The sequence below is a fragment of the Homo sapiens genome, chromosome 8, assembly GCF_000001405.40.
Source record: "Homo sapiens chromosome 8, GRCh38.p14 Primary Assembly".
Lineage (NCBI taxonomy): Eukaryota > Metazoa > Chordata > Mammalia > Primates > Hominidae > Homo > Homo sapiens.
The window spans coordinates 19335974-19362309 of record NC_000008.11 but is presented as its reverse complement, the minus strand read 5'-3'; the positions used below and the strand labels follow the sequence as shown (position 1 = coordinate 19362309).

General features: G+C 42.7%; 1 protein-coding gene across 8 annotated transcripts in view; it reads right to left on the bottom strand.

The window, feature by feature from the left end:
- The window catches only part of SH2D4A (SH2 domain containing 4A), an 82526-nt gene that overhangs the window by 33909 nt on the left and 22281 nt on the right, over nucleotides 1-26336 (bottom strand). For 5 of the 8 annotated variants that reach the window (NR_156444.2, NM_022071.4, NM_001174160.2 and 2 more), the window contains 2 exons: nucleotides 5027-5107; nucleotides 996-1107 (listed from right to left, as the gene is read on the bottom strand). Coding sequence is in view for 7 of the 8 variants with exons in the window: in NM_022071.4 (NP_071354.2) it covers nucleotides 996-1107; nucleotides 5027-5107 (193 nt within the window). In the remaining variant the exon portion in view is untranslated. The remainder of the gene's footprint in view (nucleotides 1-995; nucleotides 1108-5026; nucleotides 5108-26336) is intronic. The other 3 variants (NM_001363110.2, NM_001363111.2, XM_047422080.1) reach the window with 1 other exon arrangement.

Sequence of the window (26336 nt, the reverse complement as noted above, 5' to 3'; positions counted from 1 at the left end):
GGTCAAATCCTGTTATACTTGACTTCAAAGAGACACCCAAAATATTCCCTTATGCTAGGATTTCAGTGCATAGTACAAAGAGCCTACTGGATCTTGCAAATATTTTCATTTCACAGTAGTTGTCATTTAAATGGCATTGGTTGTAATGGGACTGCAGATCAATGTAGGATCTCAACATCCTGCAAATATAGCCATACCTGCTGTCTTCCTCAAGCCACCTCAGGTTGATCTAGCAGTTCAGATTTCTCTGAGTCAGATGGAAACACTAATTCTTTCACAAACCTAATTCTTCTAGCATTCTGGAGCATCCTCTCCTCTGCCTTCAGTTGCATGGGCTTATTCTTCTCCTATGAGTTTTCTCACCCATTCTGCTCACTCAAATAGGAGTCAAGGCTGGGTCACAGGCAGGAGCGGGATGCTAACACATCCAGCCTGGTATTCCTGTGTGCTTCTGATTACAAAGTTAAAATGTATTCACTATCAAAAATTTAGGGGAAAAAAAATCCAAAACACAATATTAAATTACAAGAAAAACATTCAAATAAATAATCTTGAATCTCACCTTTCCAAGAAAACTAATGTTTACATGTTATTATAACCTTCCAGTTCTTTTCCTTCAGATACTTAGACATTTCTAAATAGCGAAGCTTTTCATTCTATTTCATGGTGTTTTTTCTTCCCCAAGCTAATGAGATATAAACAGTCTAAGATCATTAAACACTCTCCAAAACCTATTTTCCATAGCTATATATCATGCTATTTGATAAATTACATCATAATTTTGGTGATACAGAAATAAATGGAGAACGAGTCTGCTGTTCAAAAGTAGCCTGTAAGCATTTGAGTAATAAGTTAGTAATAACATTTGAGTGGTAACTTACTGTGAACATATCTCTCAACAACCCACATTAAGCGCTTTCTAGATTGATCACATTATTAAGGGAGAGAATCAGCTGAGAGCCTGGAAGGTGCTATGGAGACCTCTGGGTACTCACGAGATGCCTGCCATTCCGAGTCTTCTTTCCAGCTCTTACAAATCTGCTTCGTTCTCTCTTCTTCTATTTGATTTATTTCTTCATCTTGTTTTTTCTTCATAGATTCTTTCTTCTGTTTAAAAACAAAACAAAAAAAAACAAAAACAAAACAAAACAAAAAAAGAACCTTGGTGAGCAAATCCAGCAGTTTCCTGAAGGACGGGGTACCCGGCACAGCTGACTTCTATCTAACTCTCTGGCCCACTAGGAAGGATCAAGTGTGGACTTTGGAGTCAGTAAGACCTGAAGTAAGACTGACCATTGCTAGCTAGTGTGTAACTCCAGGAGCAACAAATGAACCTCTCTTGGGCTGTTTCCCCATAAGAAAGATGAGAAAAAAATATTTCTTAGGGTTATATTGAGGATTAGATAACTTAAGAAGTCCCTGGCACAGTGTATAACATATAGTAAGAAAAAATATTCCTTTTCCTCAGACACAGTACTTAGCTGCTTCAAACTGACTCCCTGAAGGATGTAAACACACTATTACATAGAACTAGCATCAACCTACTTTACAGTAGCTGACAGACTCCACAGAAGAAATGCACATTCCCAGAGCAATCTCAGCTGAATCTCTCCCCCGAGTCATGTGTCCCAAAATGTGGTACTTACTACATGATTTTAAGTGTTTCAAAAGAAATATATATCATTATTATTTTTTTAAGATGGAGCCTCACTCCTTCGCCCAGGCTGGAGTACAGTGGTATAATCTCGGCTCACTGTAACCTCTGCCTCCCAGGTTCAAGCGATTCTCCTGCCTCAGCCTCCTGAGTAGCTGGGATTACAGGCAAGTGCCATCACACTTGGGTAATTTTTGTATTTTTTGAAGAGATGGAGTTTCACCATGTTGGCCAGGCTGGTCTCGAACTTCTGACCTCAAGTGATCCACTGCCTCAGCCTCCCAAAGTGCTGTGATTACAGGCATGAGCCACCACACCCTGCCAGAATATGTATTTTTTTGTTTCAAAAAAAAAAAAAAACAGAAAAATATTTTTCAAAAGCATCTTTTGAGAAGGGAGAAATACTTTCAAAATGTAAATATTCCTTTAAAAGGAGAATTAGGTTTTTAAAACTTAGGGTAAAATTCCACATAACAAAATTTACCACCTTAACCATTTTTTAGTGTACTGTTTTCTGGCATTAAGAGCATTCAACGGAAATCATTTTAAACGAAAGAGAAATGAACAAACCAAATCACTTAGACCTGAAAAGTACTTTGCTTATTTGGACACAACCTTCTGAGTGCTCACAAGACGACTGAATTTACAGTTTGGTGGACTAATAAAAGCCTTGGTTAGCTAAGCAATAAAACAAACTGAAATGGCCAGAAAGGGCTGCCTGTGCCCACCTCTCTATCACAAGTGACAAGCTTTTTAATTTTGTGCTTTCCCACAGAAATGTAAAGACTTCCTTGCTATTATGTCACCACAACGTAAAGTATAAACATTAATATTGTGAAACTTGTTTCTGATCGCTCTGGGCAGTCATAAATCACAGTTCAAGTAATCATCATTCATAAATTGTGCTTCACTGCAGATGTAACTAAACTTCTGTGCATTTACTGTTTTCATTTTTTTTTCCTTACACTGTTTTCCTGCCTAGAGCTAAGCTCCTTTTGTTTGCCAACATTTGAAAATCCAAAGGACAGCTTTGATGTTTGAAAGGACTGTTAAAATTTGCCATCCTTTGATTGAAGCTGTTTGCCAGCCCAAGATAGATACATGTGCTGCTAGCAATTTCTAAGCTTAAACAGAAAAAGCTTCAAAGTGGAGCTTTGTTCATCCTTCCACATGCATACGTGTTTATTTTTAAACGGTTAGGAAACATATAGTGAAAACATCAAGCTATGATCATCATGGATATTGTTGCTGAGGATAAGCAAGAAATTTGGAACATGACATGATTCTACCTAAGAAAAAATATTAATAATAACAGATGTAGTACTTGGTTGATGTTACTCAAATGTCTAACAGAGCTATATTTAATAAATCTACTCCTTTAATCTGCATGTAATTATGTACATGCACAGTGGAAAAGAAGAAAAATTAACGAGTTTCACAGAGTAATAGCAGATGAGATCTGCTATTACCCATCTATATACGGCCCTGACCACCGTATTTATTCAAGAAAGCTAGAAAACGTAAGGAACTTGTCCTGCGTCTCTGAGAGAATTTTACTTTTATCAAAATCTGTAATGGTTTACTTTCTCTATTCAGAAGACCATCATTTCCTTTTCAGCAGTGTTTTGCTGGAAGCATGTTGGACCAGGACTCAGGACTGTCAGCCAGGCATGGGGAAATCCAGGTGATGGCTTGGAGTGGAGGGGCGGAGGGGCCGAGGCTGGATGCTAATCCAGATGCCCAGGGTGGAAGGTGTGGAGACCCAGATGTGTGGTGTGAGCTGTGAAAATGTGTTCAGCTAACAGTACCAGAAAACAAGGGCACGCTGGGCCCATATAGAAAGCCGCTGGGCCCGTTCAGAAAGCCTCTTGTCCAGCCTGTTGATGGAAGCACTTAGAATGCCTCCCCACCAATTCCTTCATCAGAGCCTCACAAGTGTCCCCAAAGGAGGATGCCTCTGTTTTATCACCTTTGTTCTACAGAGAAGCTTAGCAAGCTGGCTCATTCATTCTCTCAAATGATCAGCCCTTTCCCCACCATGCCAAGTGAGGTAGTGCCTCTGTGTCTTTGACTTGCTGTTCCCTCTGCCTGGAACAGACATCCACATGGCTTAGACATCCACATTGCTCCTTCCCTCTTTCCTTCAGGTCTCTGCTCCAATACTGCCTTCCCAGAGTGGCCTTCTCTGACTACCTGTCCCATCCCAATTCCATCCTCCCAGGATTCTTCAGTTCCCTCATACTGCTTTATTTTCCTCTGCAGTGCTTAATAAGTGATTACCTGTCCTCATAGATATGTTTATCATCTCTCTCTCCCATGAAGAATATAAGCTCCCTGAAGGCAGGAATTTTGTCTGATTTTTTCATAAAATGTGTCTCTAACTCCCATAACAGTGCCTAGTGTGTAGTAGACACTCAATAAATGTTGCTTGGATGAATATACGATCCTTTGTCTTCCTCAGCTGTCCCCATTTAAAATGACATAGTGAGATCTAAGCAGAATTAATGAAAATGTCCTTTAGATCCCCTATTGCTGCTGTTTTAGAAAGAAGTATGTATTGTATCAGCAGTATGCACACAGGACTACAGTTCCACAACTTCATCCTGATTTCTTGAAGTCTTAAAAATGCAAGTTCATGCATGTCCCTTCAGAGGAATCATGGAATTCATGGCATGGTCCACAGGAACACAGGTCCCTGGCCTGACCTCCACCACAGCCCGATCTCAGGAACCTTCTCTTCACAGGCTCACATCTTACGCTGCTGTTTCAGACTCTCGGTAGGTCAAATCCTACTACAGCTTCCAAGTACCAGTCTATGCCTCATTTATTTTGAGCAATTTATGACATGATAGCAAGCTCACACGACGGAGGAAGCAGGGCTTGGCCTGGAGGGAGAATGTCACATCTAGATGGACGTGAGAGAGGGCTGAGTGCCAGAAGGGGTTCCAGGCATGGTGGATGTGGAGGACACAGCAGCTGCTCACCCTCAAGGGACAGGTTCAGAAACAAAGAGCACAGAAGTAACTCGATCTGAATTCACTCTTTCTGCCAAGTGTAATGCTCCATTTATCACTGTCTGAAATCAGTCTTCCCTCCATGTCTGCAGCAGCCTGGGATGCCGCCTCTATGTTAGATCTTCTGGGAGGAGTTTAGCTAATACAACTTGGCATCTGTTCTTTCCATGACATTCAACACTTCCCGAACTCCAGATAAACGGGTAAAGATGCAGAACTGTGTTTGCAGCTTTTAGGACAGATTTCCCATCCTGCTGCTTAATTTCATTTCTGCATGAGATTAATTAACTAATCTGTGAAACATTAGTGGAAATGCCTAGGTATGCAGCCCCCGGAGGACAGAAGGGAAGTCTTTTACCTGGTGAAATGCATATGCCTTCATACGATTGATTGAATCTGCCAACATTTGTTGAATATTTCTTGAAGAACTGGAGAGTGACTAAAAATTAAACGAAACACATTTATGGCATTTGGAGCTGCAGTGCAGTTTCATAAGATAATCTGTCAATGTTTCCCTGGTTTCCCTAATGCTGCCCCCGCCCCTACAGATGGATCCACCCAAGGCTCCCACTGGCACCTGAGTTCCTGGGCCGATCCTGACTACAGCAACGGGCATGTGAATCCTCAGTATCCCCACTCAGTAGGGCTTAGAAAGGAATTGTTGCCCAAGAGCGAGGAGCTGGTGGTTTGGTATATTTTGCTCCCATTTAGTTGGCCCTGGAGGGCCCTGGGGATAACTTCCAGCCATCAACATTACCCCCTATTTAAATTCTCTTCTTGCTTAATCTCTGCATACCCTGTTTTAGTGCAGGCCAAAGAAATGCCTTAGTCTCTGGATTTAACTATATGATGCCTTGCAGACATGCCTGGAGCACAAGTTTGGTGCGTGGGAGCCCTGCCCAGTTTCCCTGCCTGGCCCACAATTCTCCTCTTTTCCTGCCCTTGTCACCCAGTATCTATGTTTCTCCTGCTCTAGATGGATTTCCCATGAGGCAACCTCCCCACTGGGGTTCCCAGATTCATTGCCTAAAGTCCCTGGTGTCATTCCTGCCTGCCGCAGGCCAACCCTCTGGCATCACAAGTATGCCAGCAAATCACAATGGGTGCTTCTTAAGACACAGGCCCCCATCAGTCCCTGGCTGGAGTGCAGAGCCTAAGCTAAGTCCCAACATGGGTAGTCAAATGTCCTGAGTACCCAGATATACCTACCCACAACCCACATTACCGCAAAGTATATGCCTTGTGTCTGAGTTCTTAATTTTGGCATACATCGGAAATTGTCACTAAAATTTCAGCAAAAGGTTGGTGCCACCATTCAGAAGGAGTACAGAGGATCATTACTGCACCATGCAATAAACCAGTGGCTTTCTCAATCTTCCCCTTTTCTCAAAGTGGCTGGCATGTGGCTACCCCACTATACCGCATTTCCCAAATGCCTCAGCGGTTGTCTTAACATAATGCAGTTGACAACAGGCATTTGCCATTTCTCCCCAGGCCCACTTGAAACCTCCTTCACACACTCCTGCAGGCCACTTCCACCTTCCTTTGGGCTGGAATGGTGACAGCAGCAGTGCTACTACCAAAGATAGCAGATACTTAGACTACAAAAGCCTGAGTCCCTGAATGACTGTGTGGAGCAGAGCCCTCCTGAACTAGAACACCTATTCTGGACTGTCTGAAGACAAATAAATAACTTTTATTGTATTTTTGGCCATGGCATTTGGGGACTATTTCCTTCAAAAGTTTAGCCTATCAACTGATAAAACTGGTCACAACAGTTGCTGGAGGCATGTTTCAAGCTCTCTGCTGAGGTTTTATAATTAATCATAGGTGGTGAGATTAATGCTAATTCCGCTAATGAGCACTAATGCATACTGAAGACGTATTATGACCCGGCACCATGTTAGTGTCTTAGTATTATTTTTACTCCACACAACATCTGTGATGGATGGGCAACATAATGGGCAATTTTCAGATGAGGAAACCAAGTCTCAGGTGAGTTGTGGAGCTTGCTCAGCACCAGACAGCTGGTTTGTGCCAGAGTTTATGCTTTTTCCACTATGTTGACATTGTAGTGATAAGAAAATGAGATGCGGGTCAACAGATATCTAATGCTTATTCCTTGGCAAACTAATGAATCCTGTAGGTTTCACAATTGCTATTTACCATATTCTCATTGTTTTCTTATTTTAATATTATAAAAGTATACTTTGCTGCTCTGCGTCTAAACTTAGAACAGTAACCAGTTCCTCTATTTGGGAACAGAGTGAACTGTTCCCACAAGTTTCATGTAAGCGCGTCTGCTCAAAAGTCCAAGATGACTTTTAAAATCTCTGAGTGCATTTCCACCACCAGGAAGGAGAGCTTTAAAAACAGGCCCACTCTCTCTTTCTTTGATGATATAAGATCTTTGGGGCACCGTTTTGCAAAAAGGATGTTTCTTATATTTGAAAATTAGGAGGCAGGTAACCCTTCTTTCTTAATACTCCCGCAAGTATTGCAGAGAATGTTTCAAATATGCTATGTTTATTACTTGGCAAACTAATGAATCCTGTAGGTTTCACAATTGCTACTTATCATACTTTCATTTTTTTCTCATTTTAATATTATAAAAGGATACTTCGCTGCTCTACATCTAAAATAGAACAGACGCAGAGCAGCTGTTGCAGAATCAGACAGATCTGGACTTATGAAACTGGAGTTCTGGACCAAGGTTTTGTCCGCAGCACATTTGCTGTCCTTAGTCTTTGAGCTTTAAAACACACTCTTAGTTGCTTCCTGAATTAGCATTAAGCTAATAGGCATCTGATGGTTATCTTCTAATCCATGTATTCAAAAGTGTTGTCTATTTTGTCAGTTTCCCCTCAATATCCCGCCAATTACTGTCATCTGTATGGGTACAGTGCTTTGAACACAATGCGTGAGTTATCCTCCATCCCTCAGTTATTCCTTAAACTGAACAGTTCATCTCATGTACACATGAACCAGGTATTTTTACTACTTGCTTTCTTTAAATTATCTTACATTTTTTCCTATCATCATTGTATACCTTTTCTTACTAGTACTTTCAGCATGCTCACTGCCTTTGCATGTGTCAGATCTGACGCGGTTATGAATTATGTTAAAATAATATGAAGCACAGACACGTACTCCAGACAGTGTGCATGGAAGTGATGTCACTGGGCACTAAAGTGACAGTGGTTGCTGCCAACACCATCCACTCATGGTAGTTGGAGATGATTGATGATTTTCCTTTTCTTTGAAATTTTAGGTTTTGTCTTTAGTATACCAAAACTCACAAGCTTGTTCTTGAGTAGAATTTTAGCATAAAAACTCATTAGGCCCATGCGTGGTGGCTCATGCCTGTAATCCCAGCACTTTGAGAGGCCAAGTTGGGTGGATCACCTGAGGTCAGGAGTTCGAGACCCGTCTGGCCCACATGGTGAAACCCCATCTCTACTAAAAATACAAAAATTAGCTGGCATGGTGGTGCATGGTGGCACATGCCTGTTAATCCCAGTTATTCGGGAGGCTGAGACAGGAGAATCACTTGGACCTGGGAGGCAGAGGTTACAGTGAGCTAAGATTGTGCCACTGAACTCTAGCCTGGTGACCGTGAGACTCCGTGTCAAAAAAAAAAAAAAAAAAATTAGTTGAAAAACCACTCGAGAGATGAATCCTTCTATTTAAACACTTCTATTCAATGTGTCTAAAACATACTGTAAACTCTAAAGCTATTCACACATACTAAGAACCACATTTATAAAAATTCTACTTTTCAAGGTGAACCAAGATTTTGCCATTATTCTAAAGGGTTAAAATAACATGAAAAACTTAAAACTTGCAGAAAGCAGGCTCATTTAGATACACTTACACGTTCTACAAATCCATGATATGCACAAGTAATAGAGTGAAAATGTGGGATCCAAAAGTTATTTCCTTTATTAAAAAAAAAAAAAAAAAAAAACAGCTAGAGGCCAGGTGTGGTGGCTCACGCCTGTAATCCCAGCACTTTGGGAGTCTGAGGTGGGCAAATCACAAGCTCAAGAGATCCAGACCATCCTGGCCAACATGGTGAAACCCCATTTCTACTAAAAATACAAAAATTAGCCGGGCGTGATGATGCGCACCTGGAGTCCCAGCTACTCAGGAGGCTGAGGCAAGAGAATTGCTTGAACCCAGGAGGCAGAGGATGCAGTGTGTCAAGATGCTGCCACTGTACTCCAGCCTAGGTGACAGAGCAAGACTCCGTCTCAAAAAAAAAAAAAAAAAACTAGATGATTAATGGACTCAAAAGTAATGACTTATGATGGCAATATCAGAGGGTATACCTCAGTAATACCACTGCCTCTTTGAAGCACTCCTAGAGGCAGGATGAAGAGGCTTTTCAAAGAGGGTACCATGTCCTCTCTGAAGCTTCCATATGCTGCTATGACCCAGGAAATATACTCTTTAGTTATCTCTATACCAAAAAAGGGAAGAAAATGACCCTCCTACCTGTATAATTTTTGCTTATAAAGCACTTTGAAGTCTAATACATCATTGACCTTCATATTAGGTGTCAAAATAGGCCTTATCCCTTTACCAAAGAGGTAAGGTAACCTGTTTTATTGGTCATTGTGTTTTTGTTCTTGAGACAGAGTCTCGCTCTGTTCCCAGGCTGAAGTGCGGTGGCATGATCAGGGCTCACTGCAGCCTCAACTTCCTGGGCTCAAGTGATCCTCCCACCTCAGTCCCCCAAAGTAGCTGGGACTACAAGCATGCACTACCACACCTGGCTAAATTTTTTTTAATTTTAGTAGAGACAAGGTCTCACTATATTGCCCAGGCTGGTTTCAAACTCCTGAGCTCAAGTGACGCTCCCACCTCAGCCTCCCAAAGTGCTGAGATTATAGGTGTGAGCCGCCACACCTGGCCTAAGTTGACCTGTTAATAGGTAGGAGGACAGGGACCCAAATGCATGTCATCTCCACGTCTGAAGCCTGCTCCTTCCTCAGGGTCTCCCAGAGAGAACATATGTATGCTCTTACGCATAACAGCCACTACGGTCATCATCCATCTGCCACATTACAGAAATTCTTACAGCTGCTGGAGCTCTATGAGCAGAGTTAAAGCAATCTTATCTGCCTCATATCTGCTCTATTTAAACATAAAAACTGCCATGAATATTTATGCAAAAGCTTCCAAAAAAGAAAAACTGAAAGCTAATAACATCAGAAGCTAGTGGACTTCCTGCAGACATCAAGTCAGAATAACCCTCTGTAATCAGTGAAAATCCCAAATGGATCTGGGGGTGTACCCCATCTGATTGGCCAAAAGATAGTATGAAAAATAATAACTACCGTTAAACTTAGAAGTATGACAGTTCAAATCTACATAAGCAACTGGGTTACAAAAAGGTGCTGCTGACAACATCAGTATTACATGGTTACAAAATATGCTTCCCCCAGAGTCTGTCTGTCAAATGAGAAGAATTATGTTCACTTTTCAAACTGCTTTGAGAAACAGTTGATACTGGCTTCTAACTTAATATTCCCTTTGTTTATAAGTAGGGTTATAGGCTGGAGGCGGTGGCTCAGGCCTGTAATCCCAGCACTTTGGAAAGCTGAGGCAGGCGGATCACCTGAGATCAGGAGTTCAAGACCAGCCTGGCCAACATGGTGAAACCCCATCTCTACGAAAGTACAAAAATTAGCCAGGCATGATGGTGGGTGCCTGTAATCGCAGCTACTCAGGAGGCTGAGGCAGAAGAATCGCTTGAACCCGAGAGGCAGAGGTTGCAGTGAGCCAAGATCTCACCACTGCACTCCAGCCTGGGCGACAGAGCAAGACTCCATCTCAAAATAATAATAATAATGGTAGGGTTGTACAGTCAAACAAATGCCAAGTGTCTTTAATTCCAAATAAACCAGAAAGCTCCAACAAACAGAACATTGTCAGGACTCAATTTTTATGGTAAAGATGAAAATGAAGAATTAATAGCATAAAATCAAGAGTTTATTTTTGTTTTTGTTTTTGTTTTTTTTTGTTTTGTTTTTTGAGTCAGAGTCTCACTCTGTTGCCCAGGCTGGAATACAGTGGTGCGATCTCAGCTCACTGCAAGCTCCGCCTCCTGGGTTCACGCCATTCTCCTGCCTCAGCCTCCCGAGTAGCTGGGACTACAGGCGCCTGCCAGCACGCCTGGCTAATTTTTTGTATTTTTAATAGAGACGGGGTTTCACCGTGTTAGCCAGGATGGTCTCCATCTCCTGACCTTGTGATCCACCCGCCTCGGCCTCCCAAAGTGCTGGGATTACAGGCATGAGCCACTGTGCCCAGCAGAGATCTAGTTTCACTATTAATCAAGATAGAATGAATTCAAATACTCTGAGAATCAGTGGTCTATAGCTCACCCATTTTGCCAACCAGGTCATTGAAATAATCAGATCATCCTCTTCTCAGCAATTTTAAACAAAAAGGCAGTTTCCCAATGATGACTATAATATTAAGTTTCTGAGCATACTGGGATTTACCTTTTTGCTTCTAAAATAACAGGAGAGGCAGAATAATGGAACTCTGCTTCAATAAAGTTATAAAGAATAAGAGAGACAGGAGAGATTTTCCTAAGGCCAAGTAGACTAACAGACAAAAAGCGGGACAGTAAATTTTATTGCTAAAAATATGGTACAAACTCCTTGTAGAGTGATTTTACTGACACATGAATTAGGACAATGGAAACCCGAGAAAATCTTTTCCTTATTTTTCTAATATTGTTCCAAGCAAAATCCACGCACAGAGACTACTGAATACCCCGACTTGAAAGTACAGCAGACTCCAATATGATGTGAGATTTTATGGCACATGTTTCACTAAACATTGTCGGCTGCTGCGGTGGCTCAGACCTGTAATCCCAGCACTTTGGGAGGCCCAGTCAGAAGATTGTTTGCACCCAGGAGTTTGAGACCAGCCTGGGCAACATGGTGAAACCCTGTCTTTACAGAAAATACAAAAGTGGGCTGGGCGTGGTTGTGTGCGCCTGTAGTTCCAGCTACTCGGGAGGCGAGGGTGGGAGGATCACCTGAGCCTGGGGAGGTCAGGGCTACAGTGAGCCAGGATCTCACCACTGCATTCCAGCCTGGGAGACAGAGTAACGCTCTGTCTCAAAAACAAAACAAAACAATAAAGAGCAACAACAACTAAAAACATTGTCTTTGGTGTCCTAGTTTATTATGAGCACGTTAGAGCACAGAACGTCAGTCATATTCGATGAACAATAGCTGACTCCTATTGCACCATCCCCTAAAACACCACTAAGCAATGCACAAACAACAGAACTGGGCAGCAACATCTTTGAAAAATGCAGTGATGCAGAGCTGGTGCAGGTTGCTTGGGCAAAGCATTCACATGCGAGGGAGTTTCAAAGGCCACTCTTACATTCTCATCCAGGGAGACGCCTGAAATAGGATCCATGAAGGAGCAAAAGACAAGCAAGAGAAATAAAGGAATTGTGAAATATAAAGTGTAAGCATAAAATAATAAAGGATTGTTGAGAAAATATTCAGAATCTTAAAAACATGATTAAAAAAACATGATTGATACAGGAAGTCCTGATGAAATGGAACACAAAACTTAACTACAAATAATAATAGAAAAATAATAGGCTAGGCACAGTGGCTCACGCCTATAATGCCAGCACTTTGGGAGGCCAAGGTGGGCAGGTCACTTGAGGTCAGGAGTTTGAGACCAGCCTGGCCAACATGGTGAAGCCCCGTCTCTACTAAAAATACAAAAGTTAGCTGGGCGTGGTGATGGGCACCTGTAATCCCAGCTACTCAGGAGGCTGAGGCAGGAGAATCACTTGAACACTGGAGGTAGAGAGCGAGACTGTATCTCAAGAAATAATAATAACAACAATAGAAAACTATATTCATATCATATGTAATGCTTTACAAAACACTTTTATGTATATTATTTCATTTGATTCTCACATTAACCCAATGGCATGTAGCTACTTTAATGTCCATTTTATGGATTGGGAAACTTAGCCTCAGAGAGGTTGAACAACTGACCTTGAAGTGGTCAACAAATCTCCCGACTCAGGAATCTAGAATACTACTTTTAATGAGTTCAATAAGTGAATCAATGCTAATATCTCCCACAATGCAGCTGTACATTATGAAGTTGGTAACAAAATTGAGTAAACCCTTAAGACTAGAAATATGTTTTTCTCTTTTCTAATTTCTATCAATCTTTTTATTTTAGAAATTTTGATTATTTGTTTGCTTTTAAAAAGCACAACAGCTTAAGTGAATTTTAAGGTGCTAGCATTTTGTGATTCTATCTTATATAAGATTTTATTCTACAAATTACCTACCGTGAAATTCTATTACAGTTACACAGAAACTACTTGGGTAGTTGTGTAGCCCTCTGATTAGGGCTCCACTCTTGAATTAATAAGATATGCACAATTAATTACTTATCTGTTTTTACCTGGTATGTCCAATGCTTTATTTCTCACAAAAATTATATTGAAATGCTTCCTTCATGTATACTAGAATGGAATATACATCAAGGCAAATGACTCCTAGCTTGGAATAGGATTATTCCCCTTTTGTCTCTTTATCCGATTCAATCCTCGAAATTCTAGCTTGTGTTTCGGAAGCACATGATCTCTATTTACCATGGTAGTCCTTGTTCTAAGGTGTGAACCCCCTTGCCTCCCAGAGACTCACAATATGGCTGTCTGCAGTCAGAACCAGGCAATGCCACACTGGTTCTGCTAACCCCAGGAACGAGGTATCTACTCTGGGGTAGTATGCAGGCTTCTCAACCCCGCCTACTCACCAAGCTCGGTACTCACCTCCGCTTAAATCACCTTAAAGTGTTATTTTGCTAATACTGCTTTTCACTCTTAACCTGAAGCGCAAGTGACAGAAAACCAAAAACTTTTGTTGCTATTCAATAACACTTTGAGATGAATGAGAATCCTAGAAATAATTCAGCATATTCTTTTCTATTCTTTCAAAGACGTCTTCTGATCTCAGTAACTCTCTTCTGAATCTCTCCTTTTAAAAGGCAAACCACTGAAGTCCAGTTTTACAGAACTGATCGTTCCGGAGTGGACAGCGCTCTTAATTTTAGTTTGAAAGAAAGGTATAGAAGACGGAAAATTTAAGTGGAAGTTTCATATTATATCTTAAAATCATTTTACAGGTTGCTACTTAAATGCTCTCTACTCATGGAAACATAACACTATGAGTTACAATAACACTTAAAAATATAAGTGAACTGTAATCCCAGCACTTTGGGAGGCAGGGGCAAGAGGATCACTTGAGCCCAGAAGTTCAAGAGCAGCCTGGGCAACATGGTGAGACCCCTGTCTCTACAAGGAATAAAAAAATTAGCTGGGCATGGGAGCATGCATCTGTAATCCAAGCTTCTTGGGAGGCTGAGGAAGGAGGATCACCTGAGCCCAGGGGTTTCAGGCTGTAGTGACTCATTATTGCACCGTGGCACTCCAGCCTGGGTGACACAGCAAGATCCTGTTTCTAAAAATACACACACACACGCACACAAAAACTGAAAACCACCATAGTTTCAGTGTCAAGTTTACAACTAAAATGTACACTTTAGTGGCGTGTTTTTGTGATCATTAGTTGTTATAGAAAAATGACTGACTTAAAAACAGGTGTCAGAGCCTTGGGGCAGTGTGGAAAGCATGCACACGTGTGTTGTGTGTGCATGTATGCATGCAATGTGTGGCATGTGTTTGCCTGTGTGGTGGAGGTGGAGAGGTAAGAGGCCTCATCTGTAACTCCACCTGGTTAAAGAATATGTCACAGGGAAGACTTTTGCTCAAGGCTTTTTAATCTGCCAGCTACAAGGCTTTATTTTTTTGTGCGTGTAATACTTTGAATCCCAGATGTTTGGTTCTAATTTTTTTATCTCCTGTTTTGCAGTGTGGCCCACTCTGAAGGCCATTTCTGTAAAAATAATGAAGAATTCTCTGGAGATAAAATCTAAAAGTGAGCAGATATAGTTTTATTCAAGGTCCCTTTCAGGGGCAAGGACAGTCAGTACTGATTAATGAGTTCCAAGCCTGCAAATTACATATAAGCGGAGAAACACAGAGGAGCTTATTTTTCAGTTGGCAGAGTCTGCCATTCTCCCAACCACACGCAGAACAACTCTGAGTGGGGACGGGGGACATCACTGCATTCAGATGGCTATCCACATAGAGGGTCTCTAAGGGTCTCTTCAGCTGCAGGGGACTCGCAGTTCATACCCAAACTCCCCTAGGTAGGGTGAGTCGGTTCACACAGCATGCCACTGTCTTTTTCTCTGAGTCCCATTAACTCCCCATTACATTCATCCTTGCCTGGGAATGGCATCTGCTCTGAACGTGCGTGTCTCAAAACCTGGCAGGAGGACAGAGAAATCCAGCTATTCCCCAGCACCTCCAGTTCAGTGTAGGCACCCAGTAACTCTGCGTGTTCGCTGTGATCCATGGAGAACCACAACACTGACTCGGTATTAAGCAGAGCATCACTTCAGAGGTTCCTCGGCTGCATCACCACTGCCAAAAAGTAAGGACAAGCCAGCTATTTTACAGAGGGCAACAGCTTTGCAGAATAAAAACCATATACTCAGTTCTAACCTAGATGTTACTTCAGCCTCCTCCTGAGCTTGGAAAATCCAGCCAGACAGCCCTCTTTTGCCTCCAACTCTTCATATGAAGAATGCGAAGGACGAAGCCTGGCCTCCTGATAAGAACAATATCTTTTATTGCTCTACATACTTGCCAGAGGATGTGGGTTGGGGGTGAGAGAACGGCATCCTGTAATTGAAGGATTTCAGGAGGCAATTGTTGCTGCTTCCATCAGACAATACTGGGCAAGCTGCTTTCTCCTATTTATACATTTTATCGGCTTCCTTTGTAAAGAGTCAGTGTTGCTAAATTTAACATCTACAGAAGAAACGGATCCCTTACTGCCCCAGTTCCCTACCTTTTTGGCATCGGCGACTGATTTTGTGGAAGACAATTTTTCCATAGATAGGGGGCGCCAGAGGGATGGCTTCGGGATGATTCAAGTGCATTACATTTATTGTGCACTTTATTTCTATAATTATTACATACTCATCATAATTCATAATGCAGAATCAGTGGCTTGCTTTCCTTCAACTAGAGTGTCCCATCTGAGGGTAATGGGAGGCAGTGACAGATCGTCAGGCATTAGATTCTCATGAGGAGCATGCAACCTAGATCCCTCACATGAGCAGTTCACAAGAGGATTCATGCTCCTATGAGAATCTAATGCTGCTGATGATCTGACAGGAGGCGGGGCCCAGGGAGTAATGCTGGCTTGCTTGCCTGCTGCTCACCTCCTGCCATGTGGCCTGGTTCCTAACAGATCACAGACCAATGGTACCCCAGGGATAGGGGCTCCTGCCTTATAGGATACTGCCCCAAGTATCAGGGCTGCCTGTAAGGACTGAAACTTCCATTCCCTAACTAGAGGTTTTCTACTGTGTTGGGTGCTATGGTTTCCAGGTATCTGGTACTTGTTCAGGCAGTCTTACTTTTGGATATTTATTCGGTATAATAAAAATTTTAAACCAACAAAAATATATCCTTTGAAAATCTTCTGTAAAGATTGTCATGCGTGCATAGAAAGATACTCTGAGACTGGACCTTAAGGTTTCCAAAGCCTGTAGCAGCCATCAAACAATTCTCAGATTCCCAAGATTTGCTTCTCATGGCTATCAGGGTGAAGCAGAAATTCTTCACTCTTAGAACTGGGGCAAGTCTTCCATTCTTCTGTAAGGGATCTCCTTGAATGAAGCCATTTACTAATGAAGATATAACTTGGGTTACACTGGTATAAAATCACATCCAAATGCAAACCTACAGATTGCGTGGTTTGGCGTTCTGGTTAAAACCACAGAAACTGTTGCATGGCAGGAAGGTACAGCTCTCTACATTTTTATATGTGAGAAGATTAGCTATTACCCAGGTGGACCAAAAGATATGTTTTGAGTCTCCAAGGGGAGGGCTGTAGTGAAAACCAGCTCAGGATAGGAATGCCACTTGACCAAAGAATACATCATCTGTGCCTTATTTACAGAAATAAAATTGAGTTGACTTTGCCACATACCACTGTGTTTGCCTATCACACTCCTGCCTAACTGCTGCTCAAATACAAAAGTCTAGACCTCGTGGTATGGCTTATTCGCTGAAACGGTATGGCAACCCTTCTTGACAGCTAGTAGTGATAAGAAAAAACATTCTTTCTGTTGTACAGGCATCGAGTGTTGCTTTAAGATCTGCATGTGTAGAGCTAGAGTGAAACTACTGAGAAGTCACCTCAGCAAACAGAGTCCATCTGTACCGTGAACTCCTAGGACTCCATGTGGCTGCCTGCAGCCCTGTTGACAAGGATATGAGGTCCTGTCCTGGCTCATCAGGAGAGAGTGCTGCAATTGATTAGTCATGTCTGTCCCAGGGGCAGCATAGGAAGTACCTGCACCTGGGCTCTATGATCACTAAACAATTTAAAAGTCTCTCATTTTATAGATTAAGAAAACAAAAGACCTGCAGAGACAAAGTCAAAATGAAAATCCAGTTCTTCTGACCACTTGCTCTCATTATATTACCATAGCTCAAAAATGGACTGAAGGCCCACCATTCCTTATCAACAATTTTAAAATCCAAAAAGGTCTGAAAATATGTAACTCCTATCAGGGAGGATCCTAACTTGAACTAACGAGGCTATTTACAGTAACTACAGCATTTGTTTACAGAGTGTTGACCCAGACCTTGCTGGGAGGCATTATATATTACATAGTACATGCACAGTATTTCTTTTATAAAAATCTGGGAAAAAAAAGCTGAAATCTGAAACACTTCTGGGCCCAGATGTATTGGATAAGGGGTGGCAGGCCTATACTACTGACCCGACAGCCTACAGGGGTATGGTAGCTGTCATGGCCTTAAAAGATACCCACGCCCTAATCTGAAACTTGTAAATCTGTTATGTTATGCAGGAAAAGGAGCTCCTCAGACATTAATTACCAGCTATGGACCTTAAAATGAGATTATCCAGGATTAACTGTGGGCCCAATCTAATCACAGGCGCTCTTCGAAAGCAAAGAACTTTCTCCAGCTGGAGTCAAAGAGAGACAGCAGAAGAAGAAGTAAGAGAGAACTTCTAAGCAGGAGAAGGACTCAATCTGCCATTGCTTGAGGGGCCACTCGGAAAGCATAAGGAATGCAGGCGGCTCCAGGTACAAAGATTGGCCCCTGGTTGATGCCCAGCAAGGAATCAGGGCCTCCCACTGATTCATTTGGCCAACAATGTGAATATACCTGTAAGCGGATTCTTCTCCAGGGCCTCCAGATAAGAGCCCATCATGGCTGACATCTTGATTTCAGCCTCTTAAGACCCTAATCAGAGAACCTAGTCCTGCTATGTCAGACTTCCCACCTGAGGAGCTGGGAGATAACACATGGGTACTAGGGTAAGCCACAAAGAAAACTAATACATGGAACAAGCCTGACTCTTCTTCCATAAGGTGACCTGTTAGCATCTACTCAAACTTACCTTTCTTCGTCCCAGACAAAGCACTTTACCCCATCAGACTGTTCCCCTGCATTCTCCCTCCCCGACACATGAGGCTTTGCACTTTCTTACCACTGACATTTCGCCGGCCAGGACTGCAGAGTCCTTTCTCCCAGGCCTCTCTGCCTTTCTCTGTCACCCACTCCATCCCTGCCTTCCACAAACCAGTGAACAGGCCACTGGCCTCCTAGAACGTGATTAAATCCTGCCCTACAGAGCACTCACTGCTGCTCTTTTCAGAGGTTAAAACTCCTGAAAGATGAAAACCTCATCTTATGCCTTCCTCGTGGCGCTGTAATGCCTATCATTACACAGATTAAACCTTGACGGATATTTGCTCAGAGAATGACTGATGCAGCCCAACAAGCCCAACAGTGCTGGGCACTGAAGTGTGCAGCCCCTGGGTAGGAGACGGTCACACAGGGGAAGGACAATGTCTAGTGCTCTTAATTAAAATAACCCCTTACATTTGTACTGGGATTTCCAGTTTTCAAAGAATTTCCAAATATGTTATCTCATGTCATTTTTTACTACCTAATCTTTTTTTTTCCACCAAAAACCCATGAGATAAACAAGGCAAGTTTTTAAAAAATCCCAGTTTTTGTTTGTTGGAGACAGAGTCTTTCTCTGTCGCCAAGCCTAGAGTGCAATGGTGTGACCACAGCTCACTGAAACCTCAACCTCCCAGGCTCAAGCAATCCTCCCTCCTCGGCCACTGGAGTAGCTGGAACTACAGGTGTGCACCAGCATGTCCTGCTATTTTTTTCTTTTTTTTAATTTCTGTAGAGACAGTGTCTTGCTATGTTGCCAGGGCTGGTCTCGAAATCTTGGGCTCAAGTAATCCACCTGCCTCGGCCTCCCAAAGTGCTGGGATTGCAGGCATGAGCCACTACACCTGGTTTTAATTCCCACTTTTGATAGATGAGAAAACAGAGGTTGCAGAGGTTTATGAGATTTGCACAGCTAGCATAGGTAACCAGTCCAGCAGTACAAATACAACCCTCTCGCAGTGCAGGGCAGAGAGGCTGCTCTAAAAATCTAAGGCACACAGAGACGGAAGCAGCGTGCTAGAGCTGTGAGCTCTGCAAAAACACCACCGAGGTGAATGAGACTGGCTCAAGGTGTCCCGGAAAGTAGATTTAATCCTGTCTATTTCTCCACTGTTCCCTGACTCCCTCCTCTTTCCCTTTCTCCATGTTTTCTTATGGAAAAAGCTTTTCTGTTTAATTTAAAGCCCAGAATATCTGGTTTAAAGTATCACTGCTAGTGGAGGGGAAAAGCCCAAAAACTCTAATCCCAGCAGTGTGATCGTTAAGGTGCAGACGTGATTACCTTCCCGGGGGCAGATAATAAGAGGGACCTGAATAAGGTAGAAGACCCAGCTCCCCCTGTGAATCAAACCATTGCCCTCGGAACAGGATCCCCCCACTCGGAACAGGAATAAAAATACCTGTTTCACACCTCCTACAGTTGTGAGGATGAAGTAACATGTTGAATGTACATCTTTCCAAATGTGTAGAGGGCTATCTATAACCACTATCATCCCAATGACCAGCACTAAGGCAAATCTGCCCGTTTCACCAAATAGCATCCAAGCTCCCAGCTATCCTCTTACCATGTGTAGCTTTCTTCCCTTGAGGCTGGCCTCAGCATTCTATTAACCTGATTTTATCCTATTCAAAATTCTAGTGAGTAAAGAGGAAGGATAATGAAGAAGTAACTGTAGGATTTACCCCAAGTTCTACATAAGCTCAAAGAGGACTCTGACTACATGTTTGCTTCAATCCTTCCTTCCATGAGATAATCACAGCAGAGTTGAAAAAACACTACTGATACAAATGCAGAAATCCAGTGTATCCTGATGTGTATAAGACTGAATACTCTCATGCCCAAACCCAACCCTGATATTTTTCCATTATTTGGACTTCTTCTGGCAGCAACTGATAAATCAGTACAAATAAAAAGGGTAATTGTTAACTAGAAGCACTACTTCCTAGAAGAAACTGACTCCTCCACAAGAGATTCCACAATGCTGAATACACATCAATATTTGGGTTGAATTTAATTTTCACCCATTCTCCACAGCCCTCGGGAGATTTTAGATCAGACTGGTAAGAAGTGCATTCTGACTCAGGTCTGGAGTATTTTTTTAGAAAATGGGGCACAGTTTCTCGTGATGATCTTTTTTTTTTTTTTTTTGTTAAGACAAGGTTTTGCTCTGTCACCCGGGCTAGAGTTGGGTAGCGTGATCATAGCTCGCTGCAACTTCTGCCTCCTCAGCTAAAGTGATCTCCCACCCCAGCCTCCCAAGCAGCTGGGACTACAGGTGCATGCCACCATGCCTGACTAATTTTTGTGTTTTTTATAGAGACAGGGTTTCGCCATGTTGCCCAGACTGGTGTTGAACTCCTGGCTTCAAGTGATCCATCTGCCTCGGCCTCCCAAAGTGCAGGCATTACAGATGTGAGTCACAGCACCTGGACTCTAGTGATGACCTTTCATTGGAAATTTACTACAAATCTAACAAGACAGCTTTACTTTAATAAATTTATAGCTGATTTCCCTTGAATATTGTTTATAATCCTGGAAGACTGATTGTTCTTTAAATCTCCCCAGAGTTACTCAGATAAGGATTATGGTCACTAACTTCAATAAAAACTGCTTGAAGATTTTTTATAGCAAATGTTGGGCCTTGCATATACAATGCAATTTTGAAGACATGACAATATACTTTTAGATATTAGAGTTAAAATAAACTGTAGCGGAAATTCAGAAATCTTTAATCCTTACTGTGCAAATCTGAATTGCATTTTAGAAACAAGTGAGATGCATCCTAAACCTCCAGTCTAGCTTTCTCACCAGAAACCACAGTTCTCTTCTAAAGGAGAAGGCCTGGGGGCAGTGATGAATTCTGTTTTAAATATGTCATAGTTACGATGAGAGTGGGGATTAAAGTAGACATACAAAAATGAGGGCATTCTAACTGTAATTTTGGGGTTAATCACTTAATCTCTTTGAACATTTGTTTCTTCATCTGTACAAAAGAAATGGTATTGTATTGTTTGTTTCACAGGATTATTGTGAAAAGACTTAACTCCATGAGAAAAAGTGTTGTGAACTCCAAATCACATGTATAAGATCAGCCTGACTGGGTGCAGTGGCTCACACCTGTAATTCCAGCACTCTGGGAGGCTGAGACAGGAGGATCACTCGAGCCCAGGAGTTCAAGACCAGCCTGGGCAACACAGTGAAACCCTGTTTCTACCAAAAGTTTAAAAACTAGCCAGACATGTGCCTGTAGTCCTAGCTACTCAGGAGGCTGAGGCTGAAGGATAACCTGAGCCCAGGAGTTGGAGGTTACAGTAGCTTATGATTGTGCCACTGTATTCCAGCCTGGTTGATAGAGCAAGACCCTGTCTCAAAAAAAAAAAAAAAAAAAAAAGAAAGAAAGAAAGAAAAGAACAAAATCAGCGTGTATCCACCACTACCACTTCTGCAAGTAGCCTGGGAAATCCTGACACATCTCAACCAGAATCACCTTCTCCTTTAGCATCAGCTCTTTCTCCAGACACGCCTGTCCATCCTGATGACATCTCATTCTCCCAGGCATCCAAGCTTAGAAACCTGGGTCATGCTACCTTGTTCCTCCACCCTCTCTGATGCAAGAATGATCCCTCCTTTTCAAAATATAAACCTGATCAGCTCAACCCTTTGCTCGATAATCACTGACAATTTCCAATTGTTCCTGAAAAGAGTCAAAACACGTAAGTAGCCCCCAAGACCCTGTCTTGCCTGGCCCTGCCCCACCCCCCGACAATGCTTTCCCTGCTTCTGCACTCCAGTCACACTGGCCCCTTTGGTTCCTCCAAAGCCCACTTTCCCTCCAGCTATGGAGCCTTTGCCACACTGTTCCTCAGCTGGAACTGCCAGCCCTAGGGGCCATGTCCTCTGCAAAGCCATCCTTGGCTCCTCGGAGCTGCCCCAGTGCTAATGTAATTGGGGTGAACAGAAACCTATCCCTTAAGTCACAGCACTTGTTATTGTTTGAAATTATATGTTATGTGATGTCTCTCTCTCCCTCCCCAACCAAAATATCATGAGAGCAGTGATTCCGTTTTACTCCAGTATCATAACCTCAATACTTAGCACCTATTGGGTACTCAAAATATGTTATGAGTAAATCAATCAACCTTGGGATCCTCTCCTCACTGTCGATACATTTAAGCTAAGAAAAATGTATAGGGGCTGGGCACAGTGGCTTACACCTGTAATCCCAGAACTTTGGGTGGCTGAGGTGGGAGGATCACCTGAGGCCAGGAGTTTAAGACCAGCCTGGGCAATACAGCGAGATCCCATCACTATAAAAAATTGTTAAAATTGGCTGGGGGTGGTGGCCTGTGCCTGTAGTCCCAGCTACTAGAGAGGCTGGGACAGGAGTATTGCTTGAGCCCAGGAGTTCAAGGCAGCAGTGAGCTATGATTGCACCACTGCACTGCAGCCTCGGGGAGAGGGAGACCCTGCCTCAAAAAGAAAAAAAAAAAAAAAAAAGAAAGTTTATAGGGAAGAGGAAAGTGAGCTAACTAAATATCTGATATGTGTTTGGAGGTACTGAAATAAGTGCCCAGTATTGAATACCTGTGATGGTTAATATTGAGTGTCAACTTGATGGACTGAAGGATGCAAAATATTGTTCCTAGGTGTGTCTGTGAGGGTGTTGCCAAAGGAAATTAACATTTGAGTCAGTGGACTGGGAAAGGCAGATCCACCCTCAATCTGGGTGGGCACCATCTAATTAGCTGCCAGTGTGGCTAGAATAAAAGCTGGCAGAAGAACGTGGAAGGACTAGACCTTCTGAGTCTTCCACCCTCCATCTTTCTCCTGTGCTGGATGCTTCCTCACCTCGAACATCGAACTCCAAGTTCTTCAGCTTTTGGACTCTTGGATTTATGCCAGTGGTTTGCCAGGGGCTCTAAGGCCTTCGGCCACAGACTGAAGGCTGCACTGTCGGCTTCCCTGCTTTTGAGGTTTGGGGACTTGTACCGGCTTGCTGGCTCCTCAGCTTGCAGATGGCCTATTGTGGGACTTCACCTTGTGATCGTGTGAGTCAATACTCCTTAATAAACTCCCTTTCATATATACGTCTATCCTATTAGTCCTGTCCCTCTAAAGAACCCTGACCAATACAATACCTCACTTACTCATCAAAAAATCCTACCAGATTGTACTGGTTTTCCACTGCTGCTGTAACAAATTACAATAAACTCAGTGCTTATGAACAACACAAATTATGGTACATTTCGGTAGGTCAGAGACCCAACCTTGGGCCAACATCAAGGTGTCAACAGAGCTGCGTGACTTCCATAGACTTAAAGAGAATCCGATTCCTTGCCTCTTCCAACTTCTAGAAGCTGCCTCCATTCCTTGCTTCACGTATGGTCTCTTCCTCCATCATCAAAGCCAGGAACATCACATGTCTCTGATCATTATCCTATAGCCACATCTCCCTCTGACCTCAACCAGGAAAGAGTCTCTGCTTTAAGGACTCATGCGATTAAGCTGGGCCTGCCTGGATATTCAAGGATAATCTTCCATCTCAACGTCCTTAACCATGGTCCCAGAGGCAGAGTCCCCTGTTCCATGTAAAGTAACGTGTTCGTGGGTCTGAGAGATCTAAATGTGGATATATTTGCCATTATTCTGCCTAACAAATAGATTGTTTATCCCCTTTTGATAGAGGGAGAAACTCAAGAGCTAAAATCTACAGCACGAGGAGGTGAGGGATGCAGGATTCAAATTATTTCTGGTTTTCCAGAAAGTGGGTCTGTCTCTCTAAAATGGTTGCTTCTCCATTTTAATAACTATTTAATAATTAGGGTAGCATAATGAAACATTTCTGAGAAAGTCAATGAGAAGTAACTGCATTCACTACCCAGGGCTGCTGCAATGAATGGCCATAAACTTGGTGACTTAAAACAACAGATATTTACTCTCTCACAGTTCTGGAGACTAGAGTCAGAAATCAAGGCTGTGCAGGGCTATGCCCCCTCTTCCAGCTTCCGGTGGCTCCCATCTTGTGGCAGCATAACTCTGCTTTCTGCCTCTTTCTTCACTCGGCCTTCTTCTCAGTGTTTCTGTCTGATATGGTTTGGCTGTGTCCCCACCCAAATCTCATCTTGAATTGTAACTCCCACAATTCCCATGTGTTGTGGGAGGAACCTGGTGGGAGGCAGTTAAATCATGGGGGTGGGTCTTTCCCATGGTGTTCTTGTGATAGTGAGTGGGTCTCATGAGATCTGATGGTTTTATAAATGGGAATTTCCCTGCGCAAGCTCTCTTGTCTGCTGCCATGTTAGACGTGCCTTTCACCTTCCACAGTGATTGTGAGGCCTCCCCAGCTACATGGAACTGTAAGTCCATTAAACCTCTTTGTTTTGTAAACTGCCCAATCTTGGGTATGTCTTTATCAGCAGCATGAAAACAGACTAGTACACTCTCTCTCACATTTTCCTTGGCTCTCCTCTTATAAGGACACTTGTCTTGGGATTTAGGATCCACCCTAAATCCAGGGTGATCTCATCTTGAGATCCTTTACTTTAATTACATCTGCAAAGATCTATTTCCAAATAAGCTCACATTCTGAGGTTCTAGGTGGACATAAATTTCGGGGGATAAATATTCAGACCACTATAGTGACATATACACAACTTACAATAAAAATATAAATGTACCATCGAGTCAGTTGTCTGAGAGGTAGCAGACGACCTCTTTAAAGGCTCACACTAGCTGTGAAATCAGGCTCCTCGCTGTGTGGCCTGCTGTCAGAGTGAACTTCAGCAAATACCACAGGAGCCCCTGACAGCATCTTCTCTGACACAGGGAAAGATAAAAAGCAGGAATATAAAAACCTGTCACCCATCTATTTCCATATTCCTTCTATCTGAATATTTCTTTCTCCCCTGCCCCCATCTCTTTCCATATGTCAGTTTAGCAGGCACCTAAGGAAGGCAACAGTGCCACTCTCAATATAATATTTATGAGATGGTTAAAGAATAATAACTGTGGTATCTATTTTAATTTCCATTTTAATCTTTTGTCCTACTTTTGAAAAAAAAAGGTCTAAAAAAGTACTGTAATTCAAGCACAAATATAAGCATACATACTTAATACTTTTTTTTAAGACTTAGGGTCTCACTTGGTCCCCCAGGCTACAGTACAGTGGTGTAATCAGGACTCACTGCAGCCTCAAATTCCTGGGCTCAATCGATCCTCCTGCCTCAGCCTCCTGAGTTGCTAGGACTACAGGCATGCACCACCATGCTTGGCTGTTTTTTTTTAATTTTTTGTAGAGATGGGGGTCTCACTGTCTCTGCAGGATTATGCCCAGGCTTGTCTGGAACTCCTGGCCTCAAAAGGGATCCTCCTGCCTCGGCCTCCAAAAGCACTGAGATTACAAGTGTGAGCAAACACACTCAGCTGCATAATTAATACTCTGGAAGGAGCTTTCTTGTTATTACTGTTGTTCTTGGTTGGAGGGGTGTGGGAAGGGGAGCCGTGTTGGGGGAGTTTAGTGTTACACATGCTGAGTGCAAAGCACACCTGGGGAGGACGGGAGGCCTCAATGAGGATGTGGGGAGCATGTCCAGGGCTGACCTTGAGATGAAAAACCAAATTTAGAATTTTCTCTTCCTAAATATTTTGAGCCTCATATTTGTAGCCCTTCATAAAAAGCTTCTTCATAGCCCTCATATTAATGACACAACCAAACATGAGAGTTAAGAATTAAGGAGTTAGTAGTTAATATTTAAGGAATAGCCTGGGGGTCCTGCAGACCTGGGTTTGAATAAGACCTTGGGCAGGTTGCTTAACCACACCTAGCCTCAGTTTCCCCAGCTGTAAAATGGACAAATGTCTCTAGTTCATGTTATTGTGAGGATTACATGAGACACTCAGCAGTGTGCTTTGCTGTGGAATAACCCCTGACCATGTTAGTTATCAGAGTCTCACTAGGTCCTAGGAGGAGGCAGGAGATACCTGTATTCCCATATGATAGCCTCAAAGAAGTCAAAAGCA